Source organism: Homo sapiens, chromosome 7, assembly GCF_000001405.40.
Source record: "Homo sapiens chromosome 7, GRCh38.p14 Primary Assembly".
NCBI lineage: Eukaryota > Metazoa > Chordata > Mammalia > Primates > Hominidae > Homo > Homo sapiens.
This window is the reverse complement of record NC_000007.14, coordinates 38,654,913-38,669,519: the sequence shown is the minus strand read 5'-3', so window position 1 is coordinate 38,669,519 and position 14,607 is coordinate 38,654,913. Positions and strand designations below refer to the sequence as shown.

Here is a 14,607-nt window from a genome sequence, read left to right as displayed (position 1 = left end):
AAATCATTCATTCAAGCCTCCTACTCCTGGCTGACCACCCTCCATCCTCACTGGAAATTCTGGTCTTGTGACTCTCTTTTGTTCCTCTCCCTTCTATCATAATGTGGATTTCTTTTTAAGCTCTTGCTAATATTCTCTACTACTTTGATCCTCAGTATTTTCTTCATGTGTCCAGCAGAACTGCAACTCTCCAAGTTTCTTTTTTTCTACACTTACATTTAAATGGCCAAATGTATCAGTCTGTTCTCACCCTGCTATAAAGGACTGCCAAAGACTGGGTAATTTATAAAGGAAAGAGGTTTTATTGACTCACAGTTCCACATGGCTGTGGAGGCCTCAGGAAAATTATGATCATGGCTGAAGGGGAAACAAACACATCCTTCTTTACTTGATGGCAGGAAGAAGAAGTGCCGAGCAAAAAGGGGAGAAAATCTCGTGAGAACTCACTCACTATTACAAGAACAGCAGCAAGAGGGTACCTGCCCCTATAATTCAATAACCTCCCACCGGGTCCCTCCCATGACACATGGGGATTATAGGAACTATAATTCAAGATGATATTTAGGTGGGTACACAGCCAAACCATATCACCAAATATTCCTGGAGAAAGAAAGAGAAAGACACACAACAGAGCAGATTGATGTCACTTAAAATACAGAACTAAAGGAGATAGAGACACAAAACACCCTTCAAAAAATCAATGAATCCAGGGGCTGGTTTTTTGAAAAGATCAACAAAATTGATAGACCGCTAGCAAGACTAATAAAGAATAAAAGAGAGAAGAATCAAATAGGTGCAATAAAAAATGATAAAGGGGATATCACCATCGATCCCACAGAAATACACACTACCATCAGAGAATACTATAAACACCTCTATGCAAATAAACTAGAAAATCTAGAAGAAGATGGATAAATTCCTGGACAAAAACTAAACCAGGAAGAAGTTGAATCTCTGAATAGACCAATAACAGGCTCTGAAATGGAGGCAATAATTAATAGCCTAACAACCAAAAAAAGTCCAGGACCAGACGGATTCACAGCCGAATTCTACCAGAGGTACAAAGAGGAGCTGGTACCATTCCTTCTGAAACTATTCCAATCAAAAGAAAAAGAAGGAATCCTCCCTAACTCATTTATTAGGCCAGCATCATCCTGATACCAAAGCCTGGCAGAGACACAACAAAAAAAGAGAATTTTAGACCAATATCCCTGATGAACATTGATGCAAAAATCCTCAATAAAATACCGGCAAACTGAATCCAGCAGCACATCAAAAAGCTTATCCACCACGATCAAGTCAGCTTCACCCCTGGGATGCAAGGTTGGTTTAACATACGCAAATCAATAAACGTAATCCATCACATAAACAAAACCAACAACAGTTACCACATGATTATCTCAATAGATGCAGAAAAGGCCTTCAACAAAATTCAACAGCCCTTCATGCTAAAAACTCTCAATAAATTTGGTATTGAAGGGACGTATATCAAAATAATAAGAGCTATTTATGACAAACCCACAGCCAATATCATACTGAATGGGCAAAAACTGGAAGCATTCCCTTTGAAAACCGGCACAAGACAAGAATGCCCTCTCTCACCACTCCTATTCAACATAGTGTTGGAAGTTCTGGCCAGGGCAATCAGGAAAGAGAAAGAAATAAAGGGTATTCAATCAGGAAAAGAGGAAGTCAAATTGTCCCTGTTGGCAGATGACATGATTGTATATTTAGAAAGCCCCATTGTCTCAACCCAAAATCTCCTTAAGCTGATAAGCAACTTCAGCAAAGTCTCAGGATACAAAATCAGTGAGCAAAAATCACAAGCATTCCTATACACCAAGAACAGACAAACAGAGAGCCAAATCATGAGTGAACTCCCATTCACAATTGCTACAAAGAGAAAAAAATACCTAGGAATCCAACTTACAAGGGATGTGAAGGACCTCTTTAAGAAGAACTACAAACCAGTGCTCAATGAAATAAAAGAGGACACAAACAAATGGAAGAACATTCCATGCTCATGGATAGGAAGAATCAATATCGTGAAAATGGCCATACTGCCCAAGGTAATTTATAGATTCAATGCCATCCCCATCAAGCTACCAATGACTTTCTTCACAGAATTGGAAAAAACTACTTTAAAGTTCATATGGAACCAAAAAAGAGCCAGTATAGCCAAGACAATCCTAAGCCAAAAGAACAAAGCTGGAGGCATCACGCTACCTGACTACAAGAATACAGTAACCAAAACAGTAACCAAAATAGGGCAGGGAACATCACACACCCTGGCCTGTTGGGGGGTGGGGGGCTGGGGGAGGGATAGCATTAGGAGAAATACCTAATGTAAATGACTAGTTGATGGGTGCAGCAAACCAACAACCAACATGGCACATGTATACCTATGTAACAAACCTGCACGTTTTGCACATGTACCCTAGAACTTAAAGTATAATAAAAAAAAAATACATGATCAGCCTCAAATAGGCCCTCAACACTGGTCAGCAGAACTATTAAACTTCTCTGAGCAACTCATCCTCCAACTCTCAACAATGACTACTTCAAATCACGCCCCATCTTTCCTTGAAGATTTTTTGTTTTCAGCAGATGAGCCCATTTCCTATTTTACTGAGAGTTGTGAAGCATCAAAAAGGAACTTCCTGAACTTTCTAACACCAAACCTATCTAATTTCCCCTCATCAGACCTGCACCTCTTCTAATACATGGCCACACCTCCTACTGTGCCTTAGAGCCTATTCACTCTTGCTATTGCAATAATGCCTCACTATCAAATATCCTTTTCTTTAATCTACTGCATATTCAGCCAGTTCTTCTCAACTAGATGCTTCCCATTACCATATAAATGTGCTCGAATCTCTTTTATCTTAAAAATAATTTCCCTTCAGCGTGATACGATTGGCGAGGGACCACAAGAAATTCTAAAGTTCTGGTAATGTTCTTTTCCTGAAGGTGGATGTGAAGCCATGGATATTTATTTTTATTCTTTAAACTGCACACACACACACACACACCTATCTATACACATACATATATATGCATATTGTATATGCTATTTCATATATAATTATTTTCATAATTAAAAAGGTAAAGCAAAACAAAGCCCTCTCTCAATCTCAAATTAGTTTTTAAAAATAATTTCAACTCACATTTTAAATTAAGGCATTACATGTGCAAGCTGGACATACTGCATAATGCTGAGGTTTGGGGTACAATTGATCCCATCACCCAGGTACTGAACAGTGTCCAATAGGTAGTTTTTTTTCAGCCCTTGCCCCACTCCCTCCCCGTCCTCTATAGTAGTCCCCAGTGTCTATTATTCCGTGCTTTGTGTCCATGAGTACCCATTGTTTAGCTCCCACTTATAAGTGAGAACATGCAACATTGGGTTTTCTGTTCCTATGTTAATTCACTTAGGATAATGGCTTCCAGCTGCATACATATTTCTGCAAAGGAAATGATTTCATTCCTTTTTATGGCTGCATAGTATTCCATGGCGTATATGCACCATATTTGCTTTAACCAGTCCACTGTTGATGGGCACCTAGGTTGACTCCATGACTTTGCTATTGCGAAGAGTGCTGTGATGAACATAGAAGTGAATGTGTCTTTTTGGTTGAATGATTTCTTTTCTCTCAGCTATATACACAGCAATGGGATTGCTGGGTTGAATGGTAGTTCTTTTTTCTTTGAGAAATCCCCACAATGCTTTACACTGTGGCTGAACTAATTGTACATTCCCACCAACAGTGTGTAAGTATTCTGTTTTCTCCACAGTCTTGCCAGCGTCTATTGTTTTTTTTAACTTTTTAGTAATAGCCATTCTGACTGGTGTGTTGTGGTATTGATTTGCAGCTCCCTGAAGAGTAGTGAAGAGAATTTTTTCATGTTTGTTGGCTGCTTTTCTTTCCTTTTTTTCTGTTTTCTTTCTTTCTTTCTTTTTTTTTTTTTTGGATGGAGTTTCGCTCTTGTTGCCCAGGCTGGAGTGCAATGGCGTGATCTCCGCTCGCTGCAACCTCCGCCTTCCGGGTTCAAGCGATTCTGCTGCCTCAGCCTACCAAGTAGCTGGGATTACAGGCATACGCCACTACATCCAGCTAATTTTGTATTTTTAGTAGAGACAGGGTTTCCCCATGTTGGTCAGGCTTGTCTCAAACTCCCGACCTCAGGTGATCCACCCACCTCGGCCTCCCAAAGTCCTGGGATTACAGGCGTGAGCCACCTTGCCCAGCCGGCTGCTTTTTTTCTTTTTTTTTCTTTTGAGAATATCTGTTCATGTCTTTTGTCCATTTTAAATAGGGTTATTTGGTTTTGCTTGTTCGATTGCGTAAGTTCTTTATAGATTCTGGATATTAGACCTTTGTCACACGCAGAACTTGTGAATATTTTCCCCCATTCTATATGTTGTCTGTTTACTGTATTGATTGTTTTGCTGTCTAGAAGCTCTTTAGTTTAATTATGTCCTACTTGTTAACTTTTGGTTTTGTTGTAGTTACTTTTGAGGACCTAGTTATAAATTCTTTTCCAAGGCCAATGTCCAGAAAGGTGTTTCCTAGGTTTTGTTCTAGGATTCTTATAGTTTGAAGTCTTACATTTAAGTCTTTAAATAATCTTGAATTAGTTTTTGTATTTGGTGAAAGAGAGGGGGGCAGTTTCTTTCTTTTGTATAAGGCTAGCCAGCTATCCCAGCATTATTTATTGAATAGGGAGTGCTTTCCCCATTACTTATTTTTGTCGACTTTGTCAAGGATCAGATGGCTGTAGGTATGTGGCTTTATTTCTGGGTTCTCTATTCTGTTCCATTGGCCTATCTTTCTGTCTTCGTACAAGTACCATGCTGTTTTGGTGACTGTTAACTTACAGTGTAGTTTGAAGTCAAGTAATGTGATGTCTACTGCTTTGTTCTTTTTGCTTAGGGTTGCTTTGTCTATTTTGGCTCTTTTTTGGTTCCATATGAATTTTAGAATAGTTTTTTCCAGCTCCATGAAAAATGACATTGGTAGCTTGATAGCAGTAATATTGAATCTGTAGATTGCTTTGGGCAGCATGGCCATTTTAAGCATATTGATTCTCCCAAACCATGAGCAGGGAAAGTTTTTCCATTTGTTTGTGTCATCTATGATTCTTCCAGCAGTGTTTTGTAGATCTCCTTGTAGAACTTGTAGTTCATCTCCTTGGTTAGATGTATTCCTAGGCCCTGCCCTGCCCTGCCCTGCCCTGCCCTTCTCTTCCCTTCCCTTCCTTCTCTCGGCAGCTATTGTGAATGGGATTGCATTCCCGATTTGGCTCTCTGCTTAAAGGTTATTGATATGTAGAAATGCTATTGATTTTTGTACACTGATTTTGTATCCTGAAACTTTACTAAGTCATTTATCAGTTCCAGGAGACTTTTGGTAGAGTCTTTAGGGTTTTCCAGGTATATAACCATATCATCAGAAAAGAGAGGTAGTTTGACTTTTTTCCTATTTGGATGCCTTTTATTTTTTTCTCTTGCCTCATTGCTCTGGCAAGGACTTCTAGTACTATGTTGAATAAGAGTGGTGAGAGTGGGCATCCTTTTCTGGTTCTCAGGGGAAATGGTCTGAGTTTTTGCTCATTCAGTATGATGTTGGCTGTGGGTTTGCATAGATGGCTCTTATTAGTTTGACATATATTGCTTCTAAGCATAGTTTCTTGAGGGTTTTAATCATGGAGAGATGTTGAATTTTATTAAAAAACATTTTCCACATTGTGATGATCATATGGTTTTTGTTTTTAGTTCTGTTTATGTGATGAATCACATTTATTGATTTGTATATGTTGCACCAACTTTGCATCTCAGGAATGAAGCCTACTTGATCATAGAGAATTAATTTTTTGATGTGTTGCTAGATTTGCTTTGGTAGTAATTTTTTGAGGATTTTTTCCATCTATGTTCAGCAGGGATATTGACCTGTAGTTTTCTTTTCTTGTGTCTTTGCCAGGTTTTAGTATCGGAGTGATGCTGGCTTCATAGAAGGAGTTAGGGAGAAGTCTCTCCGCCTTGATTTTTTGAAATACTTTCAGTAGGATTGGTATCAACTCCTCTTTGAATGTTTGATAGAATTCGGCTGTGAATCCACCTGGTCCAGGGCTTTTTGGGTAGGTAGGTTTTTTTTTTTTTTAATTACTGATTCAATTTTGGAACTCAATATTGGTTTATTCAGGGTTTCAATTTCTTCCTGATTCAATATTGGCAGACTGTGTGTTTCCAGGAATTTATCCATTTTCTCTAGGTTCATAATAGTCTCTGAGGATCTTTTATATTTCTGTGGGATTGGTTGTATGCCACCTTTGTCTTTCTGATTGTGCTTATTTGGATCTTCTGTCTATTTCTACACTAATCTAGCTAGCAGCAATTGATCTTATCTATCCTTTCAATGAACAAACATTTGGTTATGTGATTATGTGCATGGATTTCGGGGTCTCAACGTTGCTCAGTTCTGTTCTGGTTTTAGTTATGTCTTTTCTTCTGCTTGTGTAAGAGTTAGTTTGTCCTTGTTTTTCTAGTTCCTTTGGGTGTAATGTTAGAGTGTTAATTTGAGATCTTTCTAACTTTTTGAGGTAGGTCTTTAGCACTATAAACTTTTGTCTTAATGCTGATTTTGTTGTGTCCCAGAGATTTTGGTATGTTGTGTCTCTGTTTTCTTTTATTTCAAAGGATTTTTTATTTCTGCTTTATTTGTTTATCCCAAAGTCATTTAGGAGCAAATTGTTTAATTTCCATGTAATTGCGTGGTTTTGAAAGACTTCTTGGTATTAATTTCTGGTTTTATTCCACTGTGATCAGAGAGGACGTTTGGAATTATTTTGATTTATTTGAATTTATTAGGACTTGCTTTATGACCTACCATGTGGTTGATTTTGGAGTATGTTCCATGTGCAAATAAAAAGAATATATATTCCAAGGTTGTTGGGTGGAGTTTTCTGTGGATGTCTATTAGATCCAATCAGTCAAGTGTTGAATTTAAGTCCAGAGTTTCTTTGTTGGTTTTCTGCCTTGATAGTCTGTCAATGCTGTCAGTGGGGTGTTGATAGTCCTCCACTATTGTTGTGTGACTGTCCAAGTCTTTTTATAGGTCTAGAAGTACTTGTTTCGTGAATCTGCGTGCTCCAATATTGGGTGCATATATATTAAGGATAGTTAAGTCCTCTGTAAATTGAATCTTTTATCATTATGCAATGTCCTTCTTTGTCATTTTTTACTGTTGTTGGTTTAAAATCTGTTTTATTTGATATAAGAATAGCGACCCCTGCTCTTTTCTGTGTTCCATTTGCATGACAGATTTTTTTCTCCAACTCTTTACTTTGAGCCTATGAGTGTCATTTCATGTGAGATAGGCCTCTTGAAAACAGAAGATGAATGGGTCTTATTTTTTTAAATCCAGTTTGCCACTCTGTGCCTTTTAAGTGGGGCATTGAGACCATTTACATTCAAGATTAATATTGATATGTGAGGTTTTGATCTTGTTATGAAGTTGTTAACTGGTGGCCTTGTAGTTTCTATAGTGTGGTGCTTTATAGGGTCTGTGGGCTATGTGTGTTTTTGTGGTAGTAGGTATCATTATTTTGTTCTCATGTTGAGAAATTCCTGAAGGATCTCTTGTAAGGAAGGTCTACTGGTAATGAATTCCGTTAGTACTTGCTTGTCTGGAAAATATTTTATTTCTCCTTTGCTTATAGAGCTTAGTTTGGCAGGATATGAAATTCTTGGTTGGAATTTCTTTTCTTTAAGAATACTGAAAATAGGCCTCCAATCTCTCCTGGCTTGTAAGGTTTCTTCTGAGAAGTCTACTGTTAGCCTGATGGGGTTCTTTTTGTATGTGATCTGACCTTTTTCTTTTGCTGCCTTTAAGATTTTTTTCTTTAGCATTGACTTTGGGCAGTCTGGTGACTATATGCATTGATGATGTTTAGTTTGTACACTATCTCACATGTGTTCTCTAGATTTCTTGTATCTGGATGTCTATCTCTCTAGCAAGATTAGGAACTTTTCTTGAATTATTGCCTCAAATGTTTTCATGGTTGTTTTCTTCTCTTCTGTATCTATTGTTAATGTCCAGTAATTCATAATTTTGGTCACTTCACATAATCCAATATTTCTTGAAAACTGTGTTCATTTTAAAAAATTCTCTTCTCTTTATTTTTATCTAACTGGGTAGTTCAAAAAATCAGTCTTCAAGCTTTGAAATTCTTTCTTCTGCTTGGTGCAGTCTGTTCATAAAGATTTCAATTGTAGTTTGAAATTCCTTAGGTGAGTTTTTCAATTCCAGAAGTTCTGGTTGATTTCTTTTGAAGATGTTTACCTCTTCCTTCCTTTCCTGGATTGCTTTAGAAATGTCTTTTTGTTGACTTTCAACCTTGTCTTGGATCTCATTGCTGCTTACTTGCAATCCATGCCTTGAATTATTTATCTATCTAGCTATCATTTCTGAGTTTCCATTTTAGTTAGGGACTATTGCTGGGGAGCTAGTGTGATCCTTTGGTACTGTCACTACATTCAGATTTTGCCAGGTTTCTTGCACTAGTTCCTTTTCATCTAGAGATGCTTGCCCTTCTAATTTTAGTAACTATTTTCATGCAGGTAGAATTTTTTCTTTTTCTTTCCTTTTTTCCAATAATATTATTGTTTTTTTCTTCTTTCCCTTTCCTTCCTTCCCACCCCAGGGTGTGTGACTGTAGAGAATGCTGGGTAGGGTCTTTTGGCTTTGCTTGCGTAGCCCTATGCTCTTCTGTCACCAGGTTTTATATTGGGCTGTGCAATTTGACCTACAAGCCAATAGATGGCGCTTATGGGTAAGAGCTGGCTGTGTGGCCCGGCATGGTGGCTCGTATCTGTAATCTCAGCATTTTGGGAGCCAGAGGAAGTAGGATCCCTTCAGTCCAGGAGTTCAAGAACAGCCTGGGCAACATAGCGAGACCCTGTCTCTACAAAAAATGAAAAAAATTGCTGGTCATGGTGGCATGTGCCTGTGGGTCCCAGCTACTTGGGACAGTGAGGTGGGATGATTGCTTGAGCCCGGGAGGTCAAGGCTGCAGTAAGCCATGATCACACCACTACACTCAGGGTGACAGAGTGAAAACCTGTCTCAAAAAAAATGCTATGTGGATGGGAATATATGTGATCCCATCCACATAGCATTTTTTTTTTTTTTACTGGAAGAAGCTCTCGCTTGCCTCAGGAAATGGGTTGATTCATGGAGTGCACGGTGGTCTGAGCTCCCTCTTCAGCCCCAGTGGAGGGGAGGAAGCAAGATGGGCAGGGCCAGACCAGGCAGGTCCACCTGTAGGTCCCCTGATGGCAGGCACAAGTACCAGCACTGAGGGAGAATCCAGTGGATGGCCACCTCGCATCCAGAGGTGTGCCTCGGCATGGAGCTGCAAGACCTCCTCATCCCTGAGTTCTCTGCCTGGAGATTGGGGTCAGCCTAAACTTCTAACCCAGGAGGGTAGGTGCTTCAGACGCATGGAGATTCTGCCTGGGTGTAGAGTGGGGAGGGCCTCCTGCACCAGGATCTCCGCACAGGAAGATTGGGGTGACTCAGACTGCTGTTCCAGTGAGCAGGTGTCTGAATGCCTGGAGATCTGTCTGGCATGGAGTGGAGAGGGCCCCTCTGCACCCAGATCGCTGCACGGGAAGGGTGGGGCGGCTCAGGTTGCCAATCCAGGCAAACAGCTACTCAAATCACTTTTTATCCCACCACTGCATATCTCTTTTCTCCTTCACAACCAGATTTCTTGAAAGAGATGCCTAAAATTTTTGTCTCCACTTTCTTAACTCCCAATCTTTCCTCAACCTATTTAAGGCTGAATGTCATGGCCCATCACTCTCCCATTCCCACAATCACTGCCCTGAACCAGCTCTGATAAAGTCAACAGTGATCTCCCTGTCCTCAAATACATCCAATGATGTTCAGACCTTATTTTACTACATGATTCAGCAATGTTCTTAAATACTATTAACAACTTCCACCTTCTTGCAGCTCTTCCTCCCCTTGCCTTGGGTGCTACCACATTCTCCTGGTGTCCTTTCTACCTCTCTGATGCTCCTTCTTAACCTAGTTGGTGGGCTTATCTGCTACTCAGCCATTAAAAGTGAAGTCTGTCAAGGTGGTCTTTTTTCATTATATGCTTTCTTTCCAGGCAACTGTATCCAAGATCATTAATTTTAACTGCTATCTGTAAGCTATTTATATCTAGTTATGTCTTTGGCTCAGACATTTCCTTTGAGTTCCAGATGTATATATCCAACCACCTATTTCATATTTTCCCTTGATATGTCTCAAAGGTATTTCAGACACCTCATGTCCCAGACTGAACTGAGGCTCTTCCCCCACAAATCCTGTCTTCTGCCAGTGGTTCCTGTCTCATGAATGACTCACGCATCTTTTACTGGCCATCTTCTTTCCCACCATAGGGCCTTTGTGCTTCCTGATCTAGCTTCATGATATGTTCTTTCTTCTCTTACCTTGGGTAACTTCACAATTCTTTATTTGTCATATGTCTCTTCCGCAGAGAAATTTTCCATGACCCACAAGCCCAGGTCAGCTTTTTGTATTACATTCCTTTTTACCTGGAACACTGAACTCAGTTGGAAGGTTTGCTTGTATTAATTAGCATGATTATTGAGTAAACCTCTGGGACTCCCACTGTTTGGTCTGTCTTAGCTGCCTCCCCAACAGAACCACCCCTGTTATTGTTCCAGTATGTTGCCAGTGCCCAGTCTAGTGCCTGACATACATGGAGCAGATGCTCAATAATAGCTGTTTAAATTACATATGTGCAAGCATAAATGGTTATAAACATGGTTAGCATAGAGTGTGATACAACTTACTCCCTATGTAAAATTTAAACAATTTGGGTGCTTTTTCTATTTTGGGATGTGGATGATTTTATTATGTGCTGCTTTTATTTGGTGTATGGTTAATATCAGGGGAGAGGTAGATTTCAGTGGCATATTGGATACTCTAATGCACCTGGAATTATTATAACACTTAAAGGCAGATAAGATCCCAGGGGCCCAACAGGAAGAAGGTAAGGAAAACTACTCCTGAAAAGTAACATCAAAAGCCCCCCATTGCCTTCCTCTTTTGCAAAACAGCCTATCTGGCTAAAAGCTAAAAGTTTATAATGGGATGTGGATTATTATGGTAATATGAAGTCAAGGAGGTGATTTGAGAAGAAGACATAATGTAGACAGAGGCTTAGTCTATATAGACTTTGGGCAAAAGTCTCTTTCTTCGAGATAGGCTTTACATGTTGCAATGCCCGCTCTCCTGAATATGAAGAACCTTATGAGGACCATGAAACTGTTTTAAGGTTCTACAGGCAGATTTATCTTTTGTTTTTGTACATTCCCATATAATTTAGAAATTTGTTCTAATAGGGCTGGTGCAGTGGCTCACACCTGAAATCCCAACACTTTGGGAGGCTGATATGGGATGATCTCTTGAAGCCAGGAGTTCAAGACCAGCCTGGGCAACATAGCAAGATTCCATCTCTACAAAAAAAATTAATACATTAGCCCCATGTAGTGGCATGCACCTGTAGTCTCAGCTACTCAGTGGGGCTGAGGTGGGAGGATCACTAGAGCCCAGGAGTTGCAGGTGACAGTGAGCTATGATTGTGCTACCACCCTCCAGCCTGGATGACAGAGTGAGATCCTGACTTTAAAAAAAAGAAAAAGAAGATGTTCTAATAGGATTTAGAAAATAAGAGTCCTGGGGGCTGGGCGCACTGTCTCACGCCTGTAATTCCAGTACTTTGGGAGCAGAAGGTGGGCAGATCATGAGGTCAGGAGATTGAGACCATCCTGGCCAACATGGTGAAACCCCATCTCTACTAAAATACAAAAAATTAGCTGGATGTGGTGGCACATGCCTGTAGTCCCAGCTACTCGGGAGGCTGAGGCAGGGGAATTGCTTGAACCCAGGAGGCGGAGGTTGCAGTGAGCCGAGATCCCGCCACTGCACTCCAGCCTGGCAACAGAGCAAGACTCCATCTCAAAAAATAAATAAATAAATAAATAAGAGTCATGGCAAAGGTAACCGAGGGGCACTGAAACCATCCAAGAAGGATGATGGCAAACATTTATATAGCAGTGATTATAGTCCGGGAACTGTTCCAAGGGTTTAACATATATTAGCTATTTTGATCCTCAACACAACCTTATAAAAGAAGTATTATTTTTATTCTTATTTTGGAGATGAGGAAACAAGAGCAGAAAGGAGCTGAGTAACTTATGCAAGATGATTACTGTTGTGCCATGGTTATGAACTTTCTCAACAGGAAATGAGTTTAGACATGAAAAAAAAGGCAGACTACTGTGTTCCATAAAATGAACAAATAAGAGCAGGCGAAAGGAAACCTGCTGACAGCCCCAGAATTAAGATAGACTCTTAATGGGGTGGTTGTTGACTTAGAACTGGGGAGGGGCACAGTTCTTGCTTTGCAAATTTGCCTCCTCTGAAGGTTTTCTTACTCCTTGTGTGAGTATTTTCATCTGTCTATATATGTCCTAACATTCTGCAGATTCTTCTCAACACATTGAAAATATGAAGAAAATCCTCATTGGCCTGCAGAATGAGACTGATGGGACCTTGTGGGACTGATTTTTTTTTTTTGAAAGAGCTAGCTGAGGTTTTATTTTGTACAAAAAAAAAAAAAAAAAAAAGCAGTTGAATTGTTTTGTAGCTGGAGGCATGGGCAAAGGGTGTCCCCAGGCAGTAAACTCCCCCGTGGGTGGGCTGAGAGCTAGGGGTGAGCCTCAGGTGGGTCTCCTGTTCCCTTTGCTCCCCTGCACAGCGGCCTCCCTCCCCGGCTCTGGGGCAGCCACAGGAGGGGCAGGCTGGGAGGGGCTGTCGCAGCTGTTCACTTGGGCAGAATGTCAGAGGACTCGGACGCCAGCTTCCCATCGCGGGTCTTGATCTTCACAGCCACGGCCCTGGTGGAGCTGGTGTGGCTGAAGGAGCTGGAGCCCGCGCCAGAGCCAAAGCTGGAGCCCAGGCCGTAGCTGAGGCCGGGGCTTGTGAGGCGCCCGTAGGAGAGCTCAGACCACCTGCATAGCCACAGGTGGTCTTCGTATGGATACTCATGTTCTGCATCCCAGACTCCAGCCAGCTCTCCTCGCCCTCCAGCAGCTTCCTGTAGGCGTCCAGGGCCAGTTCCTGTACTCACGCAGCTGCTGAGCCATGTCCTGCTTGGCTAGCTGCAGGGCGGTCTCCAGCTCAGACAGCTTGGCTTTGGCACCCTTCATGGCCAGCTCCCCGGGCTGCTCTGCGTCTGTGACGGCGGCCTCTAGGGAAGCCCTCTGGCCTTTGAGGCCCTCAATCTCAGCCTGGAGCCAGCTGATGTTCCGGTTCATCTCGGAGATCTCAGCCTTTGTACGCCCCAGGTCATCCCAGCGCTTCCCAGCCAGCATCTGCAGCTCCTCATACTTCATCTGGTCCGTGCTCTCAGCCTCAGTCAGGCTGCGGTTGGCGATCACCTTGTACTGAGCCTTGACCTCAGCGATGATGCTGTCCATGTCCAGGGAGCAGCTGTTGTCCATGGACAGCACCACAGACGTGTCCGAGATCTAGGACTGCAGCTCCTGGATCTCTTCTTCATACAGCTGCCTGAGGAAGCTGATCTCTTCAGTCAGCGCTTCCAGGCGAGACTCCAGCTCTACCTTGTTCATGTAAGCTTCACCCACATCTGAGGAGAAATTCATTCTCCATCTCTGTACGCTTATTGATTTCATCCTCATACTTTTTCTTGAAGTTCTCCGCCAGCCTCTGCATGTTGCCAAGCTCTGCCTCCAGCTTCGGCTTCTCCTGGCTCAGAGTCTCCAGCCGCTGCATAAAGTTGTTGATGTAGCTCTCGAACATGTCCACGTTGCTCCAAGCCATCTTCTGCTGCTGCAGGAGGCTCCCCTTGGTCTCCAGCATCTTGTTCTGCTGCTCCAGGAAACGTATCTTGTCAATGAAGGAGGGAAACTTCTTGTTGAGGGTCTTGATCTGCTCCTTCTCCTGGGTGCGCATGGCCTGGATGTTGGGGTCCACCTCCAGGTTCAGGGGGCTCAGCAGGTTCTGGTTGACCATGACGGCAGTGATGCCTCCCATGCTGCTGGCCCCACCATAGCCTCTGCCCAGGCCAGCCCGGAAGCTGGTGCTGCCCACTCGGGAGAAGCTTAAGGAGCTGAGGTGGGCACCAGGCCCACTCATGTGAGAGCAGCTGCTGAAGGCCCGGAGGCCAGAGGTGGACACCTTGTAGGACTTCTGGGTCACCCTGATGGACATGGTGGAGGCAGACAGGCTGAACAAGGCAGAGATTCCAGGAGTGGAGAAGCTGCTTCTTGGTCTGAAATTTTTTCTTTTCAAACATTGAGGTAAGGTGGAATCTGAGAGCATAGAAAGATTGTGATCACAGGTGGGATCCAGCTACATGTGGATCTTTGCCATTTTACTTGGAATCAAGGACCATTTGGATCATGCACTAGGTGTGTCTCAGAAAGCACAATACTGGGGAAGATCATTCTCCTCTTTGCAGAGAGAGAACACAGAAGAAAAAATAAGGGCATTCTTCATTTAG

The 14,607-nt window shown here is 42.0% G+C and overlaps 1 pseudogene; it reads right to left on the bottom strand.

Annotated features, from left to right (window-relative positions):
- On the bottom strand, positions 12,658-14,376 carry KRT8P20 (keratin 8 pseudogene 20; annotated as a pseudogene).